General features: G+C 46.2%; 1 protein-coding gene across 13 annotated transcripts in view, besides 2 other annotated features; it reads right to left on the reverse strand.

Moving 5' to 3' along the window:
• PDZK1 (PDZ domain containing 1) overlaps positions 1 to 22,903 on the reverse strand; it is a 36,549-nt gene extending 13,646 nt beyond the window's left edge. For 3 of the 13 annotated variants that reach the window (XR_007061050.1, XM_047422527.1, XM_047422528.1), the window contains exons 1-5: positions 22,820 to 22,903; positions 5,720 to 7,305; positions 5,554 to 5,636; positions 3,315 to 3,526; positions 1,980 to 2,229 (exon numbers count right to left, since the gene is read on the reverse strand). Coding sequence is in view for 10 of the 13 variants with exons in the window: in XM_047422527.1 (XP_047278483.1) it covers positions 1,980 to 2,229; positions 3,315 to 3,526; positions 5,554 to 5,611 (520 nt within the window). In the remaining 3 variants the exon portion in view is untranslated. 13 annotated transcript variants of the gene reach the window in all.
• Positions 5,956 to 6,457: an enhancer, noted in NCBI's record as "NANOG hESC enhancer chr1:145744111-145744612 (GRCh37/hg19 assembly coordinates)". NCBI's record gives its function as "activates a minimal SCP1, AML or CMV promoter by ChIP-STARR-seq in naive H9 embryonic stem cells {active_cell/tissue: H9 hESC(naive)}" and the evidence as "EXISTENCE:reporter gene assay evidence [ECO:0000049][PMID:30033119]".
• Positions 21,919 to 23,118: an enhancer, noted in NCBI's record as "CDK7 strongly-dependent group 2 enhancer chr1:145727451-145728650 (GRCh37/hg19 assembly coordinates)". NCBI's record gives its function as "activates an origin of replication core promoter dependent on BRD2, BRD4, P300/CBP, MED14 and CDK7 cofactors, with strong dependence on CDK7, by STARR-seq in HCT116 cells {active_cell/tissue: HCT116}" and the evidence as "EXISTENCE:reporter gene assay evidence [ECO:0000049][PMID:35650434]".

The following is a 23,581-nucleotide window of genomic DNA, read 5'->3' on the forward strand; positions in this document are numbered from 1 at the left end:
GCGCCCGGCCTGAGCTATTATTTTTTATTGATACATAACATTTGTACATATTTATAGGGTGTGTGTCATATTTTGATACCAAGAGCATATAATGAACAAATCAGGGTGTAATATTTAGGACATCCATCCTTGAACATTTATCATTTCTTTGTGTTGAGAATATTTCAAATCTTCTTACAGCTATTTTGAAATGTACAATACATTGTTGTTAACTACAGTCACCCCACTGTGCTATCAAACATTAGAACTTATTCCTTCTCTCTGTGGGTTTGTACCCATTAACCTAGCTCTCTTCATCCCCACCCTACCCCACACACATACCCTTCCCAGCTGCTGGTATCTCTCATTCTACTCTCTACCTCCATGAGATTCACCTTTTTTAGCTCCCACATATGAGAATATGTGATATTTTTCTTTCTGTGCTGGGCCATTATTAAGCAAAATAAGGATTATTTGAACACAGTACTTTAATACCGTGACAGTTGACCTGGTAACTGAGTAGTAAGTAGTAAGACTAACAGGCAGGTAAGCACATGCCACGTGGAGATGCTAGACAAACAGAGGATTCATGTCCAAGACGGGGCAGGACAGCACAAGATTTCATTACACTACTCATAATGGTTCACAATGCAAAAATTATGTATGGAATTTTCCATTTAATATTTTCAGACCACAGTTGCCTGCAGGTAAGGTAACTGAAACTATGGAAAGCCAAACAGGATAAGGGGGGACTCTTGTATGTCAACCTAGGCAAGGGATCGCTTGCTAATGACTACATAAATCACTTGTAAGGAATGACAATAACTTAAACTCTGCTTCCTTAAACACTCAGCATTTCTCCTGCTACCTTGTTATATATTTGTCATGAAGAGACCATTTTCCTCATAAAGCTAACCTAAACCATTCACCATGTGCATTAGCACATGAGCCAGATGAGTAGAATCTGAATTATGATTTTCTTTTTTTTACCACTTTACTGATAATAGGCTTCTAAGACGTGCCAAGCTTCCTTTGACTATACACACCACTGTGTTTAATAACTGACAGACCTGAGAAATACCCCTTATCGTGAGTTTACATCTCTTGGTACAGGTTAAATAAGCCTTAGAAACTATTTTAAATTTACCACTGGTCTGCTGCTGTATCACTTGCCAAATCATGACCTACCACCAGTGCTTCTCCAGCCCCAGAAAGAACATAGGCAGAGGCAGTGTTCAAGAAGGAATTGACCAGCTAACACAGCTCCTCTGGTTCCAACCAATACCCCAGAGCCACGGTCAACTGAACACAGGTTAGTCTGCACCTCTGAAATTCTAGAAATAGAACTTCTGGTGCTTCCTGATGGTCAGGGTTTCTCAAATCACTATGTACCTCTTAGCCAGAGCTCAAAGATGCGCCTCAGAACAGGTGGGGCTGAGCCGCAGCTGAGGGTACTATCAAAATGTTACAGGAGGGTGGAAATTTTTGCGGTATTCTCAGCAAAGGTAACAGTGCCTGGCACATCAGCAGGTGCTCAAGAATTTGTTGAATAAATGAATGACTATCTGGGCACTCAGATAAAAAAAAGATACCAATCTTACTCAAAAATAGCTATTATGAAGAATCTCATTTTTCTTGCCTTTTATTCCTTATTCTGCCCTTCATTTTCACCCTAAGAGGGCTAGAAGCATCAACCCTCTGGCCCCCTGACCTCAAAGAGTCCTCAAGTGCCAGCCTGACAAACACTCAGGGACAGGAGTACCCAGTGCCCCCCACCCCCACTGCTGTCCAGTGTCCCTCCCCCATTGCACAACTGTGCAAGGCAAGGGAAAGGGCAGGGAGGGAGTGAGAGACGGAGGGAGGCAAGCTGTTGCAAGCTATCTATAGCAACTGAAAAGTCAGTCAAAGAAGAAAAGTCATTAACCAGTAGCATCTTTGTTCTGGAAGCCTGTTGTCTGTGCCCTGCCCCTGCCTCCCCCTGCTCCCCAAAAAATTCTCACCTTGGACAGTTTTCAGAGAGAAGCCATAGCTGCCTCCTTCCTTCACGAGATAGCAGAGCCGGGGCTGGGTCCAAGTTTGCACACCTCCATTCATCACAGGGGAAAGTATATTATCACTCAAACCTTGCTCCTTCTGACTTTGACCCAACTCTTTCAAGTCCACCCGTGTTTTCACTGCTTTCTCATAGGAATCCCCATCCAGAACTAGTAAAGTCACTGAATTCCCACTCTTTCTGACCAGATCCACAACCTAGGAGGGAAGAAGAAAAAGGTAACTTTAATAACCCTCTGCCAACTGCCAGAGGGAAATGCTGACCATCTGGCTCAATATCTGGCCCTGGAGATGCTGCTAGTTGACCCTTGACACCCAAGTAGAAGCAGGTAGTTCCTCAGCCACCTCCATCCCTGCCCTCCCGAGATCCAGGTGCAGATTAGGCTGAGCTTCTGGCACTGCTGGAATATAGAGTGTGGTTCAACCCCAGCCCAGAGGGTTCTTACAAGACTGGTCCTTTCTAGAGAGGAGCGCTGCCCTAGATTGTAACCATTCCTCCCGTGTGCATGGGGACAGCACAGTGTAAGGAAAAGACCATGCTTTTGGAGTCAGGCAGAATAAGGTAAGGCCAGACTCTCCCATATATCCTCAGCAGGAACATGTTAGCAAGCTAAGATATCTGTACTTAGCTTCCTAATCTGTGAAATTGTAACATATACCTTATGAGGTCATGATGAGGACTTAACAAGATAATGAATATAAAATTGCTGGCCGAGCGTGGTGGCTCATGCCTGTAATCACTGCACTTTGGGAGGCCGAAGCGGGCGGATCACGAGGTCAGGAGATCGAGACCATCCTGGCTAACACGGTGAAACCCCATCTCTACTAAAAATACAAAAAAAAAAAAAAAGCTGGGTGTGGTGGCGGGTGCCTATAGTCCCAGCTACTTGGGAGGCTGAGGCAGGAGAATGGCATGAACCCGGGAGGTAGAGCTTGCAGTGAACCGAGATCGCACCACTGCACTCTAGCCTGGGTGAAAGAGCGAAACTCCATCTCAAAAAAAAAAAAAAAAAAAAAAATACCTAGCACCATTTTTGGTATATAGTGAACATGCAATTCATGTTAGACCTAACGCTATTCAAATCCAAGAGTAATGTGTACAGTTCTTGGTTCCTCATAGGGGACTTGATTGGCCAACACAAGGTACAGCAATAAAGGTGTCCTGCCTTGCCAGTGGCAGCCAGGAAAGAACCAAACTCTACCAACCCCCAAAATTATAATCAGCAGAGAAGATGTGGGGGCTGAAGAGATCCTGGAAGAAAAGCCCCAAATGTCTCATTCACCTGCATATGTTCTTCTTTGTCCACAAAGACACCATTGATCCTAAGAACTCTGTCTCCATCTTGAAGGCCAGCCTTCTCTGCTGGGCTACACTTCTCAACCACCCGGACCAGGTGGCCCTCGGTGTCCTTCTCAATTCGCAGGAAGAAGCCATAGTTTTGCCCTTCTTGCTTGGACAGTTTACATTCTCGGGGGTTGAAGGTGGAGGTCATTTCTGTGATGAAAAAAATAAATTAATAAAACCATGGAAAAGAGAATCTAATTGGAGTGAGAACCCCATCCTCCATCTCCTATAATTCTGTTCTTCCAATCACCAAATCTAGACTGCTTGGGTAGTAATGCTGGGGGCACAGGAGGACACCTTCCAGAACTTGCTAATGATTTCCAAATCTGTTTCCCCAAGGACAACCTTTTTACTAGAGTTTCAGACCCACGTATTTTTTACTGAGTACTGGACACAGATGCTTCCATTTCAGTATCTCCAACCAAACTCCTCTTTGTCCTCTGACCTAAAGAAATTAAGTCCAAATACATGACCCAAAAAATTTATGACAAGCCCACTCTCATTCAAACATTTGAAGAGCTTTTCAAGTTCAAGGAATCGAGGTTAAATCTGTAGACAAGATGGACCCATACCTTGCCTCTTCTATTGGGGAACATTATTACATTCCTATAACCACACGTGGTGAGTGTCATGCTGGGGAAGAATGCAGTGATAAGGGGGAAAATAACAAAGGGTCTTGGGAATAGGGAGCGGGATGGGAAGAACAAAGAACATTTCCTGAAGGAATGACACTTCCAAGAACTGAAGGATTAGTAGAAGCTTGGTGAGGTAGGACAGGACAAGGAAGAGCTTAAACCATTAAAAAAGGCAGGCACAGTGGCTCACCCCTGTATTCCCAGCACTTTGGGAGGCCGAGGCGGGCAGATCACAAGGTCAGGAGTTTGAGACCAGCCTGGCCAATATGGTGAAACCCCAGCTCTACTAAAATTACAAAAATTAGCCAGGCGTGGTGGCAGCCACCTGTTGTCCCAGCTATTCGGGAGGCTGAGGCAGGATAATTGCTTTAACCTGGGAGGTGGAGATTGCAGTGAGCCGAGATCACACTGCTGCACTCCAGCCTGGGCAATAGAGTGAGACTCTGCCTCAAAAAAAAAGGACACCAGGCCTTAGAGCTGGTCCAATATGTTGGAGATGCACTAGAAAAGGCTGTTCTGGCCCCTGAAGTCTCTAGCCACAGCAGAAAAGAGATGCTCGATAGAAAAGGGATTCCAGTGGCTAGGTTGGGGCTCTCCCTCCCAGACGCTTTGTCACCCAGGCTGCAGTGCAGTGGCGCAATCGCAGCTCACTGCAGCCTCGAATTCCTGGGCTTAGGCGATCCTCCCACCTCAGCCTCCTGAATAGCTGGAGCTACAGGCACATATCACTATGCCCTGCTAACTAATTTTTTTAGAGACAGTGTCTTGCTTTGTTGCCCAGGCTGGTCTCAAACTCCTGGGCTCAAGTGATCTTCATGCTTCAGGCTCCCAAAGTGCTGGAATTACAGAATGAGCCCCCATGCCTGGCCTGAAGCAGCTTCTATTTCCATTCATCCTGCCCCTCCTGTTGCCCCATTGCAGGGGCAAGGTCCTGAGCCATAGGAGGAAGACAGGACAAGTGTAAAACCGACAGCTAGGGCTCCGGCACACAGTTATTATTAAGGGTAAGACTTCTGCCAGTGCCCCGACACCTGCTGGCTGAAAGCTTTTTCTTTTATAGGAGAATAAGAACAGGGGCCAGAACAGCAAGAGGCTGATACAGAAGGCAGAAGGCTCACAACAGAGCACTGGAGTCTGCTCTTCACACCACCTGCAAGGCAAGCCCTCAAGTTCCTCTCATCACAGTTCCCTACCTACAAATCAGAATAAACCACCTATCCCTTCCCTCCTGGAGGGACAAGAACGGATGACCACACAGGATATGGGGGAGGGTGAAGAATAGGCCACAAAGTGCTCCAGGCACCCTAGAAGCCATGGCATGGTGATTGAAGATAGCCATCCCTGACCTTCATGCCCACAGAGACGTACAGTACAAATCAGACAGAGAGCCCCCAGCTGCCCAATACCAGGCCTCTCCTGCAGTCTCCGCAAAGTCTGAAGCCCCACGCCACCAGTGGCACGAGTGACTAAGTAGCGAAGAAAGAAGCAAACAAATAGACTCCCCATCGAGCATTGAGGCAAGAAAACAGCAAAGCCACTCACCAGTGGTCAACACCAGCACCTTGGGAGAGCTAGGCAGCTCTGCCTTATCAAAAGCCATGACCAGCTGCCAGGAAAACACCACTCTGGGATGAAAGGAGAAAATATGGCATCACCAGAGTTGAGTCACATCCAGGCACCTGTTTGTGGCCCATTCCAGCTCCCTCACCTTTCACTCCTCTTTCTGCTGATCCCAACCTGCGAGCATCAGTTCAGTTTCAGCTTGAGTTCACATCTATGTCCAAGCTCACCTGTAGATCCCTACACCTTTCCATTTCATAGGGCCAAAAGACCCCAAAAGAAAAAAAATCAGAAAAGAAAGACGAGGTCTCAATGTACTTTACTGGGAGGATCAGACAGTAATTACATAAATGAATAGGATCATTTCAGATAATGATATTTGCTGTGAAGAAAATAAAACAATGTCAAACAAAACATGCAAAGCCCTCTTAAAGTTGGGAGTAATTATTGGAGAACCTCATTCAAATCCTACAAAATTTAAAATATGTCCTTATAATCAGAATAAGGCCAACAGATACTATGTTTTCATCAAGAGATGAGGCTGTTTGTGATCAGCATATGAATGCTCATTTCTAAGGCACTCACACCCAAGACTCAACAATCTCACGCCCTGCAGTGTCAACCACAAACTCTTAATCTCTTTGTTTGTAGGCCAAGGATAGAAAGTGAAACCTCCTCACTAGGAGAACCAGCCCTGTGTTTGGAGAGAGGGGAAGAGGCAAAGGTTTTCCTATGTCTCACTGGAGACCTGTGAGCCTGACATACAAAGAAACACAAATCACTGTTTCTTGGCAGAATCTCAAGTTGACTTTTTTGTTTGAAGTTTTCAAACAGCCAGATGGTAATCGCTCAGATCTGCATCTATGGCTTTGAAGGCTCAAGCATTCAAGGTCAGTTTCTTTTTTGTCTGGTTGAAGCCAGAAAATTAGAGCCACTTTATACCAATAGTGAAATGCTACCATACTGGTGGGGAAACAGCTACTGCTGCAAGCCCCCAACTGCCTTCTGCCACTGTGTACTCCCCACCACACAGCCATTAATGGATTAATGCTATGGCCATCGATCTGCATGTACCCAGGCCAAACTGATTAAATATTTAACGCCCCCAGCTGCACCAATGGGGAAAGCAGACCTAAACCTCAAAAGCCTGGTCTTACATGGGAACCTAAAACTATTTGTTTCCTTTGCCATCTTGCAGAAAGATGATTCATCTAGGAGCCAAGGGAGCTGGGCTCTGGTCCACCTCCAGGCCTTGTTCTGTCTAGTCCACATCCTGGTGTTACTCTGTCCCCTAATTCAGAGCTGGGGTATGTCTCTTTCGCAAGACTCTGTCATTGCTCCATGACAAGGATGCCTGGGACTCTGGAACACAGGGCCTAATTAGGAAGGATCTTTGTATTTAAGGATACTCTTTCCTACTTCTTTAACCCCACCTCATCTTCTGCCTCCTGAAAAAATCTAGAGATCAGACCCCTCTGGTGGATAGACACAGAAGAAATGAAGGCCTATGGATTTCTAGAATATCATTAGCAGCAATCATTTGAAGTTGGAGTCCATTAAATCCAGCAGGCTTTGTTCCCCAGTTCAAACAGCCAAAATACATGGTGGTACACATCTTTAGTCCCAGCTACTCGGGAGGCTTAGTTGGGAGGATGGCTTGAACCTGGAGGCAGAGAGGTTGCTGTGAGCCGAGATCGCACCACTGCACTCCAGCCTGGGCAACAGAATGAGACCCTGTTTCAAAAAAAGAAAAAAAAACTGGAGATGAAAGAAAGCTATAACCATTCCTGAGCTCGGGGGGGAAAAATCAATAGTTGACAACAAAGTTGTTTATCTGTGGGAAAGAGAACAAAGTGTTGGCTGGCAGACAGGAACCGCTCGGGGGTGAGAGCCAATGAGATTTTTTTTTTCACCAATTTTATTGATGAAAAAGCTAATTATACCATTAAATTTTGCTTTTTTCCAAAATGATTAGATTATTGCTGCCAGGAAAGAGAATAATGTGGCCGTGGTCAAGAAGAAACATTAAATACCCTTTAGAAGTTAGGAAGGCTTGGTAATGAAAAGGAGGGTGGTATGACCTCTGGATCTGGCAAAGTAGAAAGAACTAAAGCCACTGGTCTATTTTCCATAGGAAAGAAATAGCTGGTGGGACCTAGGGGACTTCTTCCCAGCCCAAGGCAGGCCAAGGACTCTCAGGCCCCAGACGGCCATCAACAGGATTGATATATGAGATCCTCAGCACCACCCTCACCAACTCCTCTGCACAGAAAGCTGGAAGTCTGAGCTGGGAGCTGTTCCTGAGTGCTCTTTGTGTAACTCCTATGAGCTTCCAGGTGTTATTTTGAAAAGGAATTCTGGGCCTGGCATGGTGGCTCACGCCTGTAATCCCAGCACTTTGGGATGCCAAGGTGGGTGGATCACCTGAGGTCAGGAGTTAGAGACCAGCCTGGCAAACATGGTGAAACCCCGTCTCTACTAAAAATACAAAAATTAGCCAAGTATGGTGGTGCACACCTGTAATCCCAACTACTCGGGAGGCTGGGGAAGGGGAATCGCTTGGACCTGGGGGGCAGAGGTTGCAGTGAGCCAAAATCGTGCCAGTGCACTCCAGCTCGACAACAGTGAGATTCCGTCTCAAAAAAAAAAAAAAGAAGAAGAAGAAAGAAAGAAAAAGAATTCTGGACTGGGCGCAGTGGCTCACGCCTGTAATTCCAGCACTTTGGGAGGCCAAGGCAAGCGGATAACGAGGTCAGGAGATCAAAACCATCCTGGCCAACATGGTGAAACCTTGTCTCCTAAAATTCAAAAAAAAAAAAATTAGCTGGGTGTGGTGGCGGCGTGAGGCAGGAGAATCGCTTGAACCCGGGAGGTGGAGCTTGCAGTAAGCCAAGATTGCGTCACTGCACTCCAGCCTGGCGACAGAGCAAGACTCTGTCTCAAGAAAAAGAAAAGAAAAGGAATTCTGAAGCTGCTAGAGACCAGACAAAACATGGGCCAGGGGTAAGTAAATTCTTCTTCTGAAGAAGGAAAATAAATGGCAACTCCTTGAGGAGTGAAGTCAGCAGAATGACAAGATCTTCCTTCATCTCCTCAGTCCTAGTTGTCCACCCATGCCCAAAGGCTCCAGCTGTCTCATCTGAGTGAGCAGAAGAATTTAGTTGAAATTGTGTAACTCTGTAGACCGTGTCAGGTGATGCTAGCAATAATAAATCATGTCATTTGAAAACTCTCTATGGCACATTATCTCATTTAATGCTCGCAATCACCTTACAAGTTTGATTCTCAATCCTAGCTGCCCCTCAGAATCACCTGTAGAGATTTAGAAAAATCGATGCTTAGGCCCCACCTCAGGTCTAAAGCAGACCTAAAGACCTAAACCAGATCAAAGGAACTAGAGCTTAAAAATCACCCTAGGTGCCGGGCGCGGTGGCTCACGCCTGTAATCTCAGCACTTTGGGAGGCCGAGGCCGAGGCAGGCAGATCACAAGGTCAGGAGATCGATACCATCCTGGCTAACACCGTGAAACCCCGTCTCTACTAAAAATACAAAAAATTAGCCGGGCGTGGTGGCGGGCGCCTGTGGTCCCAGCTACTCGGGAGGCTGAGGCAGGAGAATGGCGTGAACCCGGAAGGCGGAGCTTGCAGTGAGCTGAGATCAGGCCACTGAACTCCAGCCTGGGTGACAGAGCGAGACTCCACCAAAAAAAAAAAAAATCACCCTAGGCTGCCTCGACTCCTCCTGTCTCCCCTCAGCCTCAGGATAACTCCCTCCCTCATGGGTCACAGAGGAATGTTGAGATTGAATGAACTAATCACAGCCACCCTGGGCTCACCTTTATCCAACTTGACAGGCCAAGGTGGCAGCCTGATTAGGAGAAGCCCTTGGTCACACCGTGCAGTCCTCGGGATCCTGTGTACCCACAATCAGTGCCCCAGCCAGCAGGATAGGAGTGTGTCACAACCTGCAATCTGTTCCTTGTGCCTCCCTCCCCAAGTTCTAGTTCTGAGTCGGGGGAGCATAGAACCAAGCAGATAAAACAACCTTTCACTGTTCTCATGGACTCTTTATGCTCTTAATTAAGTCTAGGGGATTGCTCCCCACCTCCCAAACCTAAACACCTTAAAAGCTGAGGCCATTCCTCATCCTCCTCCAAACCTATGGGCAGAATCCATTCAGGACTGAGGCCCTACCAGTCATCCCGTGAACCCTGGAGGATGAGTGATGGTTGCCAGATTTACTCCACAGTTCTTTGCTCCCTACCAATCTCTTCCCTTTCCCAAACAATTAGTTTCTTCAGTTAGCATGCTGGGGCAGGTGAAATCTGTTTGGGATCATGAACATAGTTCCTTCTATTTTCCATTTCAGCATCAAGAAGACATACTACCCAAACCTGATTTCATTTGTTCATGCCACAGGCATCTGCCCCTCACTTATATGCAAAACACTGTCAAGTGGTTGAAAGGATAAAGTTATACACCACCCCTATTCTCAAGAGCCTTTATAGTTGAATAAAGTTAAGAAAAAGTTTTAGAACAAAAATAACTTGCCGGGTGCAGTGGCTCACACCTGTAATCCCAGCACTTTGGGAGGCCGAGGAGGGCGGATCATGAGGTCAAGAGATCTAGACCATCCTGGCCAACATGGTGAAACCCTGTCTCTACTAAAAATACAAAAATTAGCCAGGTGTGGTGGTGCATGCCTGTAGTCCCAGCTACTCAGGAGGTTGAGGCAGGAGAATCGCTTGAACCCGGGAGGTGGAGGTTACAGTGTGCTGAGATCGCGCCAGTACACTCCAGCCTGGGGACAGAGCAAGACTCTGTCTCAAAAAAAAAAAAAAAAAAAAAAAAAGGAAAGAAAGAAAGAAAAATATCATTGTGAGCAGAGTATAAGTGAGGTAAGACCTACAATATGAAACAAATTAAGGAAACCTTCAAAAATTAGGCAGGACTTGATTTGAGCCTTAACAACATATGGATGACATTTCAACAAGTGCAGAAGAAGGACGAGACCATTTTAGACACCAATCAGTGTGGACACCATGTTATGAAAGTGGGAAAGTTTGCCAGGTGCGGTGGCTCACACCTGTAATCCCAACACTTTGGGAGGCAGAGGCAGAGGTGGGCAGATCACTTGAGGTCAGGAGCTCAAGACCAGCCTGGCCAACATGGCGAAACCCTGCCTCTACCAAAAAATACAAAAATTAGCCAGGCGTGGTGGTGGGCACCTGTAGTCCCAGCTATTGAGGAGGCTGAGGCAGGAGAATCACTTCAACCCAGGAAGCGGAGGTTGCAGTGAGCCGAGACAGTGCACTGAACTCCAGCCCGGGTGACAGAGTGAGACACTGTCGAAAGAGAGAAAGAGGAGAGAGAGAGAGAGAGAAAGAGGAGAGCAAGAGAGAGAGAAAGAAAGAGGGAAAGCTTGGGTGTCGTCAAGGAAGAGCTAAAACCCAATGTGGTTGAAGGACAGCCAACAGAAGGGAAATCATGGGTGACAAATTAGACTATAAAGGCCTTTAATATCAGCCCAAGGGATCTGGCCTTAGCTTGGTGGAAAGGGGCACCACTCAAGGCTTTTAAGCAGAGGAATAACAGGATCAGAGTTGGGTTCCAAGAAGGGCAGGTAGGCTGGATTCAAGCAAAGACACACTGCAGAGAGGCCAGGTAAGAGGCTGTTGTCAAAATCCTACTCACACGTGATAAAGGGCCTGCCTGACCCACATAGCAGCCATCAGAATAGAATGAAGGTGACAGAGGTGGAGGAACTACAGAGAGGACTAAGTGACATTGTAGTAAGTCTTCAGCCTTGTTCCCTCAGATTTCTCCATGCAGAGATTATCTCAGACAGAACAGCTGTGACAACACAGATGTCCAAAACACTTCTTTACACTCACCATGACAAGTGTCCAGGAGGAACAACAGGTGTGCAGCACCCAGTGTCAGGGCCCACAGGCTCCTGCCACTCTTCCTAATGATGGCTTACTCCCCTGGCATGTAGTTATTTTGTTCTGGTTTCACTGTCATGAGGAAAGATCCCCTGTCGCAGAGTGGCAAATGCACAGTTAAGTCTTCTGAGGCCACAGCTCAATTCGAACACAACTGTGCTTTGGGCTCCTCTTAGTCCAGGGGTTGCAAGGACACTGTAGCTCTGTAGCCACTCACTTATCTGCCTGCTTCTCCGCAAGGGCCAGCTGTATACTTTCCCTGAACTGATAACCCTGGCTCAGTATTTTCTACTAACCAGCCTGGATAGCTTTCCTACTTCAAGCCCCGAACTCCCCTTCTATTATAGACTGATTTTTGCCCCCAACTTCCAATTCATACATTGAAGCCCTAATCCCCAATGTGACTATACTTGGAGACAGGAACTTTAAAGAAGTAACAAAGGTTAAATGAGGTCATAAGGGTGGGACCCTAATTCAACAGGACTGATGCCCTTAAGAAAAGAGGAAGAGACATCAGAGAGGCACTTGCACAGAGAATAAAGCCATGTGAGGACACAGGGAGAAGACAGGAGAGGGGCCTCCGAGGACCCAAACCTGTTGACACCTTGGACTTCCAGCCTCTAGAATCATGAGAAAATAAATGTTATTTAAGCCACACCTTCCGTGGTCTTCTATTACAGCAGCTCTAGCACCTTCTGAGGAATGCTGCCCACCCAGGCTGTGTGTTTGAAAGGGAATGTGTCAAAGGAAACTAATTCATGCTTTGATGACTGGCAGAAATGTGATGCCATTAAAAGATGGTGTAGTCATGAGGAATGAGATGGCAATGTCAGTTTGAGGTAGGTTTCAATTAGAGGACTTGACGGAACATCACCTAGAGCTTAGGAGATGCTGGACTAGAGTCGAGGTTTGGGACCATCTGCACAGCAGCACTACATGAAGCCCATCAATGAGATTACAAAAAGAGGGGAGCCAAGGATAAAGCCTTTGCAATACCTGTATCTAAGTGATAGGAAAATGAAACAAAAAGGAGGCTGGATGCGGTGGCTCACACCTGTAATTCCAGTACTTTGGGAGGCCGAGGCGGGTAGATCATTTGAGGTTAGGAGTTCAAGACCAGCCTGGCCAACTGGTGAAGCCCCATCTCTTCTAAAAATACAAGAATTAGCCGGGCATGGAGGCACGTGCCTGTAAGCCCAGGTACTTGGGAGGCTGAGGCAGGAGAATCGCTTGAACCCGGGAGGCAGTGGTTGCGGTGAGCCGAGATCACACCACTGCACTCTAGTCTGGGCAACAGAGTGAGTGAGACAGAAAGGAGGGAAGGAAGGAAGGAAGGGAAAGAGAGAAAGAGAAAGAGAGAAAAGAAAGAGGAAGCAAAAAGGAATAATCAGAAAACAAAATGCCAAAATTTTAGTGTCATCAAAACTAAAAGAAGAATTTTAAGATGGGATAGTTAACAATGCCAAATAATGCTAAGAGGTAGAGAGAATGAAAACAGAAAATGCCACTGACATTCAGAAAATGGAAGTCTGGGCCTGATAAAACACTAAGAAGCAAGTGGATACCAAGTAACAGAAGCAACGAATATTGATATTTTATTTTTTGAGACAGTCTCGCTCTGTCACCCAGGCTGGAGTGCAGTGGTGCGATCTCAGCTCACTGCAACCTCTGCCTCCCAGATTCAAGCAAGTCTCCTGCTCAGCCTCCTGAGTAGTTGGGATTTCAGGCACCCGCCACCATGCCCAGCTAATTTTTTTTTTTTTTTTTTTTTTTTTTTTTTTTTTTTAGTAGAGACAGGATTTCACCATGTTGGTCAGGCTGGTCTCAAACTCCTGACCTTGTGGTCCGCCCGCCTCAGCCTCCCAAAGTGCTGGGATTACAGGCATGAGCCACTGCACCCAGCCTGGATGTTTTTATTTTTAACATTAAGGAAACGATCAGCATGTTTCTGTATCAAGAGATGATATGGAGAACATGGAAACTGGGGTTAGCCTTGGTGAGAGGAAATACCTCTTCTCCAGGGGCAGAAGAGAAGTAGAAAAAAATATGATAAAGAAGAAAACAAGGTCACTTACCTCAGCCTCAATCTCTCCTACGAAGTAGCTGACAAAAATCAGGAACTTGGAGAATATGGAGCAAAAGTACCACAGAAAAATAATCTCTAGGGTCAAACAGGTAAATCAGCGAAGGTGGCCGAGAGGGGACGGAGGAAAAGCTGCTGCTTTTCATGAGAAGACAACTGCCTGAGGAAGAGGAGGCCAGCATGCCACCTTTCAATTTTCAAGAGACTCTGGAAATCTAGATTTACATAAAATGTCCCCATTTAAAAAAACTGACAGCTATTTCAAACTTAAAAGAAATTCTATGTAAACCAAAAGAGAATGGAGCCCCCGAGCTGGCGGTGAACTAAGACAGTGAACTAATGGCCACAGCATTAGCTCACTACAAAGAGTCAATGAATTGAATTAAAATGTCTAAGAAACAACTTAGGTTAAAATATATATATATAATAAACTTGCAGCAGCATGGGTTCCCATGGATTTTTCTTACAGTAATATACATCAAGAATAGAAAAGGAAAGTGGTAACTTTTACCCTAAGTTGGGGCTAACATATTTTTAAAACATAAGGGTAGGCCAGGCGCAGTGGCTCACACCTATAATCCCAGCACTTTGGGAGGCCGAGACGGGTGAATTACTTGAGGTCAGGAGTTCGAGACCAGCTTGGCCAACATGGTGAAACCTCATCTCTCCTAAAAACACAAAAAACATTAGCCAGGTGTGGTGGCAGGCACCTATAACCCCATATACTCCGGAGGCTGAGACAGGAGAATTGCTTGAACCCGGGAGGCGGGAGGCGGAGGCTGCAGTAAGCCAAGATTGCACCACTGCACTCCAGCCTGGGCGACAGAACGAGAGTCTGCCTCAAAAAATAAAAAATAAAGGCCAGGTACAGTGGTTCATGCCTGTAATCCCAGCACTTTTGGAGGCCGAGGCAGGCGGATCACCTGAGGTCAGGAGTTTGAGACCAGCGTGGCCAACTTGGCGAAACCCTGTCTCTACTAAAAATACAAAAATTAGCCAGGCTTGGTGGTGGGCATCTGTAATCCCAGCTACTCAGGAGTCTGAGGCAGGAGAATCACTTGAACCCAGGAGGCAAAGGTTGCAGTGAGCTGAGATCACGCCATTACACTCCAGCCTGGGCAACGAGTGAAACTCCATCTCAAATTTAAAAAAAAATAAAATAAATTTAAAAATTAGCTGGGCGTGGTTGTGCGTGCCTGTAATCCCAGCTACTCAGGAGGCTGAGGCACAGGAATCGCTTGAACCCGGGAGGTGGAGGTTGCAGTGAGCCAAGATTGTACCACTCACTCCAGCCTCAGTGACACAGCAAGACTCCATCTCAAACTAACAAGCCCATAAGAGTAGGATGTGAGGATTTCTAGATTTACAAGGGGCACAGAGCTGGAATGTCAGACTGTGGGGCCAACATGAATTGGCAGATAAGAGGAGCTAGGAGTTTGGGATTGGGAAGATGAAATGTTTCAGGGACTAGCTTAGCAGCATGAGTTGGGAAGAAAGAAGAAGGGACTGTGGAAGCAGTTTCAAAAGTTAGTGGGTTGACACAGGAAAAGTTATCTGAAAAGATCTTTAGAGCAGAATAGTTCCCCATGATGCAATTCTAAAGGAGCCAGATGTGTATACAAAAGGGAATCTGTATTTTTGTTTCCATCTTCCCCCAGGATCGATTCTGAGTAAGGTAGAGTAGAAAGAGCAAGGGTTTTAGAGCCAAACCTAGTTTTTAATCCTGGCTTCACCGCTTGTTAACTGTAAGAACATGGGTGAGTTCCTTAATTTTGAGCTGAAGATAGAATACCCCTAGAATAGGAAGCACATGTGGATGCCGTGAAGATGGCTCACAGTAGAGCATGCAAGGCCTCTCAGCACAGTTTCTGGAGCATAGAAGTCCACTCCATCCAAGTTACTCTTTCCTGTCCTCTGATGAAACGCCTGATGCAATGGGAATCCCATTTTCTGTGAGAATATTTGAAATTTTTCCTGATTTTCTTTTTGCAGAAGACAGGAAGAAATTACAGACTAAGAATGGGCAGGCACCTCAATGATCAGGCAAGGGATTCTCTATCTACTCAGTCCAGATCACTTCTGCGAAGCTAATTTTAGCTGCTGAAAAGTCAGGGCTGGAGATTTTGTTCCCCATGAAAGAAAGCTCAAATAATAAACTCTGGACTCAAAAGTATCCTGTAAGTCTAAAAGCCAGGGAATTACAAAATAGAACCAAATGCTGTGTATCAAGGAGGTAAAAGAGTCCAGGGAGCTTTAACAGAATTTCAAGACTAAGCTGGCCAGAGAGTTCCACCGCCTGGAGTGGATAAGCTCTAACAGAAGTGAACATAGGGACCCAAGGAACAGACAGCAGTGGAGAAGATGGAGTGAGTGAAGCATTACCTTAGCTATAGATACCTGGCCCAGAGAGGGACCTTCATAGCCAAGGAGTAGCTAGTGAATAGGCTCACTCACCAGACAGCATCACTGAAATGCCAAAAGATCAGAGAGAGGGCATGGGATAAACAGCATTCTGCTTGGAGGGAGAAAGACAGAAGGGGGCTGTCACCAGCGATGGCCAGATGCAATGAAATACCATCAGGAAAGAAACAGCCCAGGTACTGTCATCTCTGCTCATCTTCCAAGGTCTGGGACTTAGAAGTGGCAGGATTATTCCATAAATATAGTCATCTACACCTGAACCCACCATCACCTTATCTAATAGTAACTAGGAATCAATTATGCCGTCAGTATCACACCACGAAGACAACAGAGCCTCTCCCCACAAGGCACTTACATAACCAACACTCAATCCATGAAAACACTAAACACTAAAAACTTAGCAGGGGCTGGGCGCGGGGGCTCATGCCTGTAATCCCAGCAGTTTGGGAGGCTGAGACAGGAGGATCACCTGAGGTCAGCAGTTTGAGACCAGCCTGACCAATATGGTGAAACCCCGTCTCTACTAAAAATACAAAAATCAGCTGGGTGTGGTGGCACACGCCTGTAGTCCCAGCTACTCGGGAGGCTGAGACAGGAGAATTGCTTGAACCCAGGAGGTGGAGGTTGCAGTGAGCCAAGATAGTACCACTGCACTCCAACCTGGGCAACAGAGCGAGACTCCATCTCAAAAAAAAAACAAACACTTAGCAGGACTGCTGGTGAGGAATGTTTAACCCTAGTTACTCTGACTGTGGAAGGGTATCTGATTGTATAATCTAGTATGAAACCATAGAGTAAGTTACTTCTGTTTTGTTGAGGCATAAGGAAAAGAAAGGGCAGGGTCTCTCCGGCAACATTAAACCTAGACATTACTTGCTTTCCACTGAACTCCATGCTTGCCTATAAAACACTCTGAACTTTAGCAAGAAAAAAGCCACATTCTCAGGACGCTTGACCACAGTGTGCACTTTGAGGAATGCTGTTCTTGCAGCACTTGTGTGCATCTGTGTAACAAGAAAGAAGAAAACAAACCCACTAGACTTTTGTTAGGAAAATACAGTTGGTGGAGACTGTGCAACATTAAGCCAGCAACTATAGACAGGCTGAGAATTCCCTACAGGCATCAGCCCTGACTCCAAGGCTTCATGCCTCACACCAGCCATGGCTGGCCTCCTTCAGAGCCTGCCACAGAGCCTTGGCACATGCTGTTCCTTCCAACAGCATAAGCAAAAAAATCCTGCTGTATCTGAGCTGCTACTGACAGATGTCTCTAGCAAGGAAGAGATAAAGACAACTCAATTTCACCCTTCTTCAAATATATTTTACCTAGAACAGATCCTATATTTTTATGCAGATCATATTTAAGGCTGCCTGGATTTCTCCTCTGAAAAGCAAAGCATATGGAAATTCAAATACTCAAGTATATTTACTTTAAATAATTAATATCAAAAATAGAAGGAGAAGCAAGATTCTAAAATATGTATTTGCCTAGTGTACTTTCCCATTGTGATAGTTACTGTTTGGTCTTAGCCAGGGATAAATTTCAAATATGAGAAATCAATGAAATCCATTCCATTGAGAATTATCTGGAGAAGAGTGATCCCAGACCCACTGAGTAGTTTTTATTTCTCATTTATGATCAAGAATGGAATCTACTTATCCCAAAGTTCATTTGGCCTGCTGATACTAAGTACCTTCCCTACCTCCAGCCACCATAAACAATACTTTGTCCTATATGGCAAGACTCTGGGCTGGAGTTCAAGGCCTTTCACAGTTTGATTGCTTATCTAAGAGTTCTATGAGTTGGGAGAGGGATAGAGCCAATATTGTGTGGAAACAGAGGCACCCACAGAGAGAGGACACCCTCATGCTGCTGATAGACAGCTCAACCGCCTTGAGTGCCAGCTGAGACAAGTGCTTTCCCCAAATCGACATTTTGTGACTTTTTGAACTTGCATTTCTACCCCCCCACTTTTTTTTTGGTATGTTTAAACTACTACAAGAGTCTTGCCTCGAGACAAACTTTCTAACCCTGGTTTTATTATACTACCATCTCAAAAATAATAATAATAATAATTCAAGAAAAAGAAGCTCGGCCGGGTGCAGTGGCTCACGCCTGTAATCCCAGCACTTTGGGAGGCCAAGGCAGGCGGATCACGAGGTCAGGAGATCGAGACCATCCTGGCTAACACAGTGAAACCCCATCTCTACTAAAAATACAAAAAATTAGCTGGGTGTGGTGGCGGACGCCTGTAGTCCAAGCTACTCGGGAGGCTGAGGTAGGGGAATGGTGTGAACCCAAGAGGCGGAGCTTGCAGTGAGCCAAGATCGTGCCACTGCACCCCAGCCTGGGCAACAGAGCAAGACTCCGTCTCAAAAAAAAAGAAGTTCAAGCTTCTTGCTCAGGCACTGAGGCTCAGCATAATCCAGCCCTACCTCAGGCCCCCAGCTCCTCAGCAAGCCCCAATTGGTCTATGCATGGTCACCCACACGAGCCTGCCCTTTGCTCATGCCCCATGAGCACTTACTCATAGTACGTGCTAAGTAAACATTTGTTCCAAGTGAACGAATTTAAGACCTACCATTTTCAAGGCTCAGTTCAAATTTTAGATTATATACGAATCCTTCCATGACCACCACAGTCTGAAGGTATCATTTCATCTTCTGAATTTCAGTTATCGCTCATGTACTTAACAAGTTCTATGTAATACCTACTGCGAGGCAGGTATCAGGGCTCAACCCAGAATAGCTACCGTCCTGCCCTGAAAGAGCCTGGAGTCCAGTGGGGAGAGTTATGAAGTTTAACTGCTGAACAACGTTGTGGGTGCTGGAATATTTAAATACAAAAGCTTTCTTATTGTTATATATATTTATTGAGCTCCCTACTAGGATTAGGAACCAGCCTAGGTACTTTTTATGGGTTCTGATTCAATCCTGATGGGCCATTTTACAAGGAAAAAGAAAAGAGACTCTGAAAAGTTAACTTGGTTTCCCCTGACTATTTGGATAAGCAGAGTCTGGATTCAAACCCAGTTGAGTCTGGATTCCTTCCACCATCTACCCTGCCTCCCAGGCCTGAGGTGTAGAATGTATTCTGGAAATACAAGTAGTCAGACTAGGAAGAGGAAGTCATCCCAGGCAGAAGGAACAGCAGGAGATGCATTCCCAGAATGGTGAATGGTTCAGAAAGATCAGAGCACAGTTATATGTTGAAAAAAAGAAGTAGGTTAGACTGTGAGCACTGGACTCAGTCCAGTAGACTATAGAGGAGCTTCAGGATCCATGTCGTGTGTCCCCAACAAGATAAGCTTTTTTTTTTTGGCCAGGAGGGATGGAATCTTGCTCTTGTGGTCCAGGCTAGAGTGCAGTGGTGCGATCTCGGCTCACTGCAACCTCTGCCACTTGGATTCAAGCAATTCTTCTGCCTCAGCCTCCTGAGAAGCTGGGATTGAAGGCACCCGCCACCACACCCGGCTACTTTTTGTATTTTTAGTAGAGATGGGGTTTCACTATGTTGGCCAGGCTGGTCTCAAACTCCTGACCTCAAGTGATCCACCCTCCTCAGCCTCCCAAAGTGCTGGGATTACAGGCGTGAGCCATCATGCCCAGCCAAGATAAGCTTTCTTAAGAGCAGGCACCACAGCCCCTTTCTGTATTCTCACACCATCAGGTATGTATTCAATACAACTGGTGGAAAGTCCACGGGCTTTTCTGGATCATTTAGTTTCATGTCCCCATTGGGACCCCATGGTTCTACGCAGCTTTATGAATGCTGACTATCTGTGCCTCCAACCAGGCTTGGCACCTCAGAAACCAGTGACCACCTCAGACCAAAAGCAAACCTTCTCTAGTTGCCACTAAGTGGGCTAGGGCTATCTTTTCTACTTTCCAAAACTCCTGCCATTCCCTGGGTTCCTTCATTTCCGGGGGTCATGTAATAGCAAAGCTGTCTGAAGATTATCTCAATAGCACTTAAGATGTGCTAGACACTATGTGCATTCATTTAACCCTCATAACTTCCGGAACTAGGTTCTAATATGCCCATTTGACTGACAAGGAAATAGAAGCTTAGAGAGCCTGATCTAGAGTGCAGGTTTCCAATCCCAGTGCTCATTTTCTTAATCACTTAGCCATGATACCCATCAGGCAAAGAGATTAAGGAAATCTGGGCAGTCCCTCATGAAGGACCAAAGAAAGAAGTTGCTGAGATCTTGAGGAAAACACGTCTAGCTCCAGCTTGCCACTCTCATTGCATCCCTATGCAACGAATGCAAGAATCATTTCACTAAGAAGTGACCAGAGAAACCCATTCCCATATGATTAGACCCTGGACTTCAGATGCCCTGAGAGAGGATTGGAGTCCTTCAACCTCCTTTCCTGAGGAACACCTCATCAAAGCCATCGCCATCTGCATCTATTCTTCTAGCTCCTTCCCTGCCACACTAATTCCATTTATGCAAATATGTTCTATGCCAGGTAGTGCTCAAGGGGCTGGTAATACAGCAAGTAACACAAATGACAAGATCCCTGCAGTCTTGAAGCTTAACATCTGGCAAAGGTGACAAGTAAAAGAGATGATTTTTTTTTTCTCGAGATGGAGTCTCACTTTGTCACCCAGGCTAGGGTGCAATGGCACAATCTTGGCTCACTGCAACCTCCACCTCCCAGGTTCAAGCAATTCTCCTGCCTCAGCCTCCCAAGTAGCTAATACTACAGACAGGCAGTACCACGCCCGGCTAATTTTTGTATTTTTAGTAGAGATGGGGTTTCACCATGTTGGCCAAGCTGGTCTTGAACTCCTGACCTCAGGTGATCCACCTGCCTCAGCCTCCCAAAGTGCTGGGATTACAGATGTGAGCCACTGCACCCAGCCCAAATGAGATGATTTCTGATGGTACACGCTGTGAATGATAGAGATACTGGTGGCATGGAGGTGGGAGGCTGATTTAGAAAGTCCTTCCTGGGAGGTGACATTTTAATTCATACCCCAATGACAAGGAGCTACCCTTCAAGGCTCCAGGATCTACCTTATACTTGGCCAACTGAAAAAGACATTAATGATGATCTGGTCTCAACTTCTTATTTGTAAGTGAGCAAACAGAGGCTCAATGAGATTAAAAGACTAGGACAAGGTTTCCCAAGTGACTGCAATTTGTTTCTTCTTACTATTCTACAGAGACTTTCGATATACACATTTGAAATCTAGGCATCTTACATCGTGTTTTTAACATATTCATGGTTTTTTGTTTTTTAGACAGGATCTCAGTCTGTCACCCAGGCTGGAGTGCAGTGATGCAATCACGGCTCACTGTAGCCTCGACCCCCTGGGCTCAAGCAACCCTTCCATTTCAGCCTCCCAAGTAGCTGACACCACAGACACATGCCACCATGCAGGATTAATTTATTATTATTTTTTGTAGAGACGGGGGTCTCACTTCATTGCCCAGGCTGGTCTCGAACTCCTGGCCTCAAGTGATCCTCCCGCTTGGGCATCCCAAAGTGCTGGGATTACAGGCATGAGCCACCATGCAGGACCACACATTTGTACTTATAATTTTATTTTCAGTACACTCTTGGGGAAAAGATGACAGACCTTCACTTGATCAATAATGAAATTGAGGCTCCAGTTGGCTAAGTAGTTTGTCTAATGGCCTGTCACTAGCAACTGAATCAAAACTCTGATGATTTGTATTCCAGTCCTATGTTCTTTCCCCTGGGGGAGAAGTAGCTGCCTAGCCAGTGGTCTATGAATATAAGACATCATTACCAGCAACTTCACACCCTATGGTGCAGAGAACATACAAAAGTCAAAGATAAGCACAAGTTACTATCATAACACAGAAATTCAAAGACCCTGAGTAATTTGCTGCAGACTTCAGATGACTGGACAATCATGGCCTGAGGCAGTCCCTGCTACCCCCTCTTGCCTTCTAGATACAAGACTGAAAGCTGCCCTGGTGACACATTGCAGAGATTTTAGTAAATAAAGAAGAATGTGTTTCTCAGAGCCAACGCCCAAATCTTCATAGCTGGACCCAACCCAGACCAGGAGTCTTCATAGCGAGTGAACCCTTAGGTAAGTGTCATACTTAAGTCTCATGAGTCTTCTGCTTAAGAAATAAACTACTAGTGGTTCCCAAACCTACCTGCACTGATCAGAATGATTCTGGGAGAGTTTTCAAATAAAGATCTTTCAATTCACACAAGGCCTGGAGACTTAGAAATGCCAAAGGTGAGAGCCTGGGGAATGTATGTTTTAAAATTCAGCCAGCCTGGAAATCCACTGGTTTTTCTCATGTCTTAGTGCTGCAGTGTGATACAGAGAGGAAAGATGCCTGCTTTTATTATCTAGTGGGCAAGCTAAGTTAGGCTGCATCCTTTAAAGGCTGCTTCCAGAAGAGTCTTCTCTGCTACCCAAGGCCCCTGTATCAGTAGGAAGGTCCCGGGCATATCCGCCTGGTTACCTGTGAAGTCAGTTGTCTCACTCCCTTTGGCTGCACATCAAACCCCCACACAACCCCGGGAAGGCTTTTTCTGAGGTCGGTTTACCAATTTCTTTGTGAAGCAGACCCTAGCCTACAAAGGTGAGGGGCATCTCCAGCAGAAAGAATCTCAGAGCGTGGATCATCTCTCACCCCCAACCACCGCCAAAGGGGCCTGGCTGCCTCCCCATGGGACTCTTCTCTGCCCTAGACAGCCAGCTACTGGCTTGGAAAAAGAAAAAGGGAAAAGGAAAAGAAAGAAGGTAGTTCAGGCCCCGGTGGCCAGCACCCTCAAGGAGGACACGAGCAGTTCTTACCTGGAGATGGAAGAGGAGCTGCTCTGTTCGTTCACTCAGGAATTCTGTCTCTGCAGGTGAGCATTAAGCTTGCAACTCACTGGACTTTGAACAAAGATTGATTTAAAAGCTAATGTATTTAACAGGGACATGTGGTCTGAATTCAAGTGACCTCTGTCCTGCTTCCTGCCAGCTGGCTGGGCCCTGAGCTGGAAAATCTGACAAACCTCAGCAAACCAAAAGCTCTGGCCCACCTGCCTGGCCCTGCGGGGAGGCCGCTGCTCGCCAGCCACTCCCAGAGAACAAGGAGGGGAGAGGGGGTGAAGGACAGCCAGGGAGGAGGTGCCTCCGCTTTCCTTGGTACTCTCCCTTTGGCAGATACCTTGGTTACACCCAACCAACCCCCAATCCTGTTAGGATCCTCCAGTCCCCCATCCTGGGGTCAGGGCCGAGGCTCATACAGGAGTATCCTCAATCACTGAGGCCTCCCCAAGGAGCAGTAGCCTATAAAACTCCCACCCACGAGGCCAGTAAGCCCCAGGAAATGGGGCCAAGCACTCAGGGCACCCATCCTGCTTCCCTCTGCCCTGGATTCTCACTTGTGTGCTCCCTAGGAGTTTAGCAAGCAAAGCCCTAGAGCAAGCAAAGCCCTTGTTCTTGTGTCCCAGGCTTCCTTCTTCTTATCCACTCTCTCCCCTCTCTTTTTTTCTTCTCTTTCTCACCTGATGGTGCTCTTTCTATTCTCCAGCCTAGCGATAATTGTCTTCCCCTTCACACACTCAG

Source organism: Homo sapiens, chromosome 1, assembly GCF_000001405.40.
Source record: "Homo sapiens chromosome 1, GRCh38.p14 Primary Assembly".
In the NCBI taxonomy this organism is placed as follows: Eukaryota; Metazoa; Chordata; class Mammalia; order Primates; family Hominidae; genus Homo; species Homo sapiens.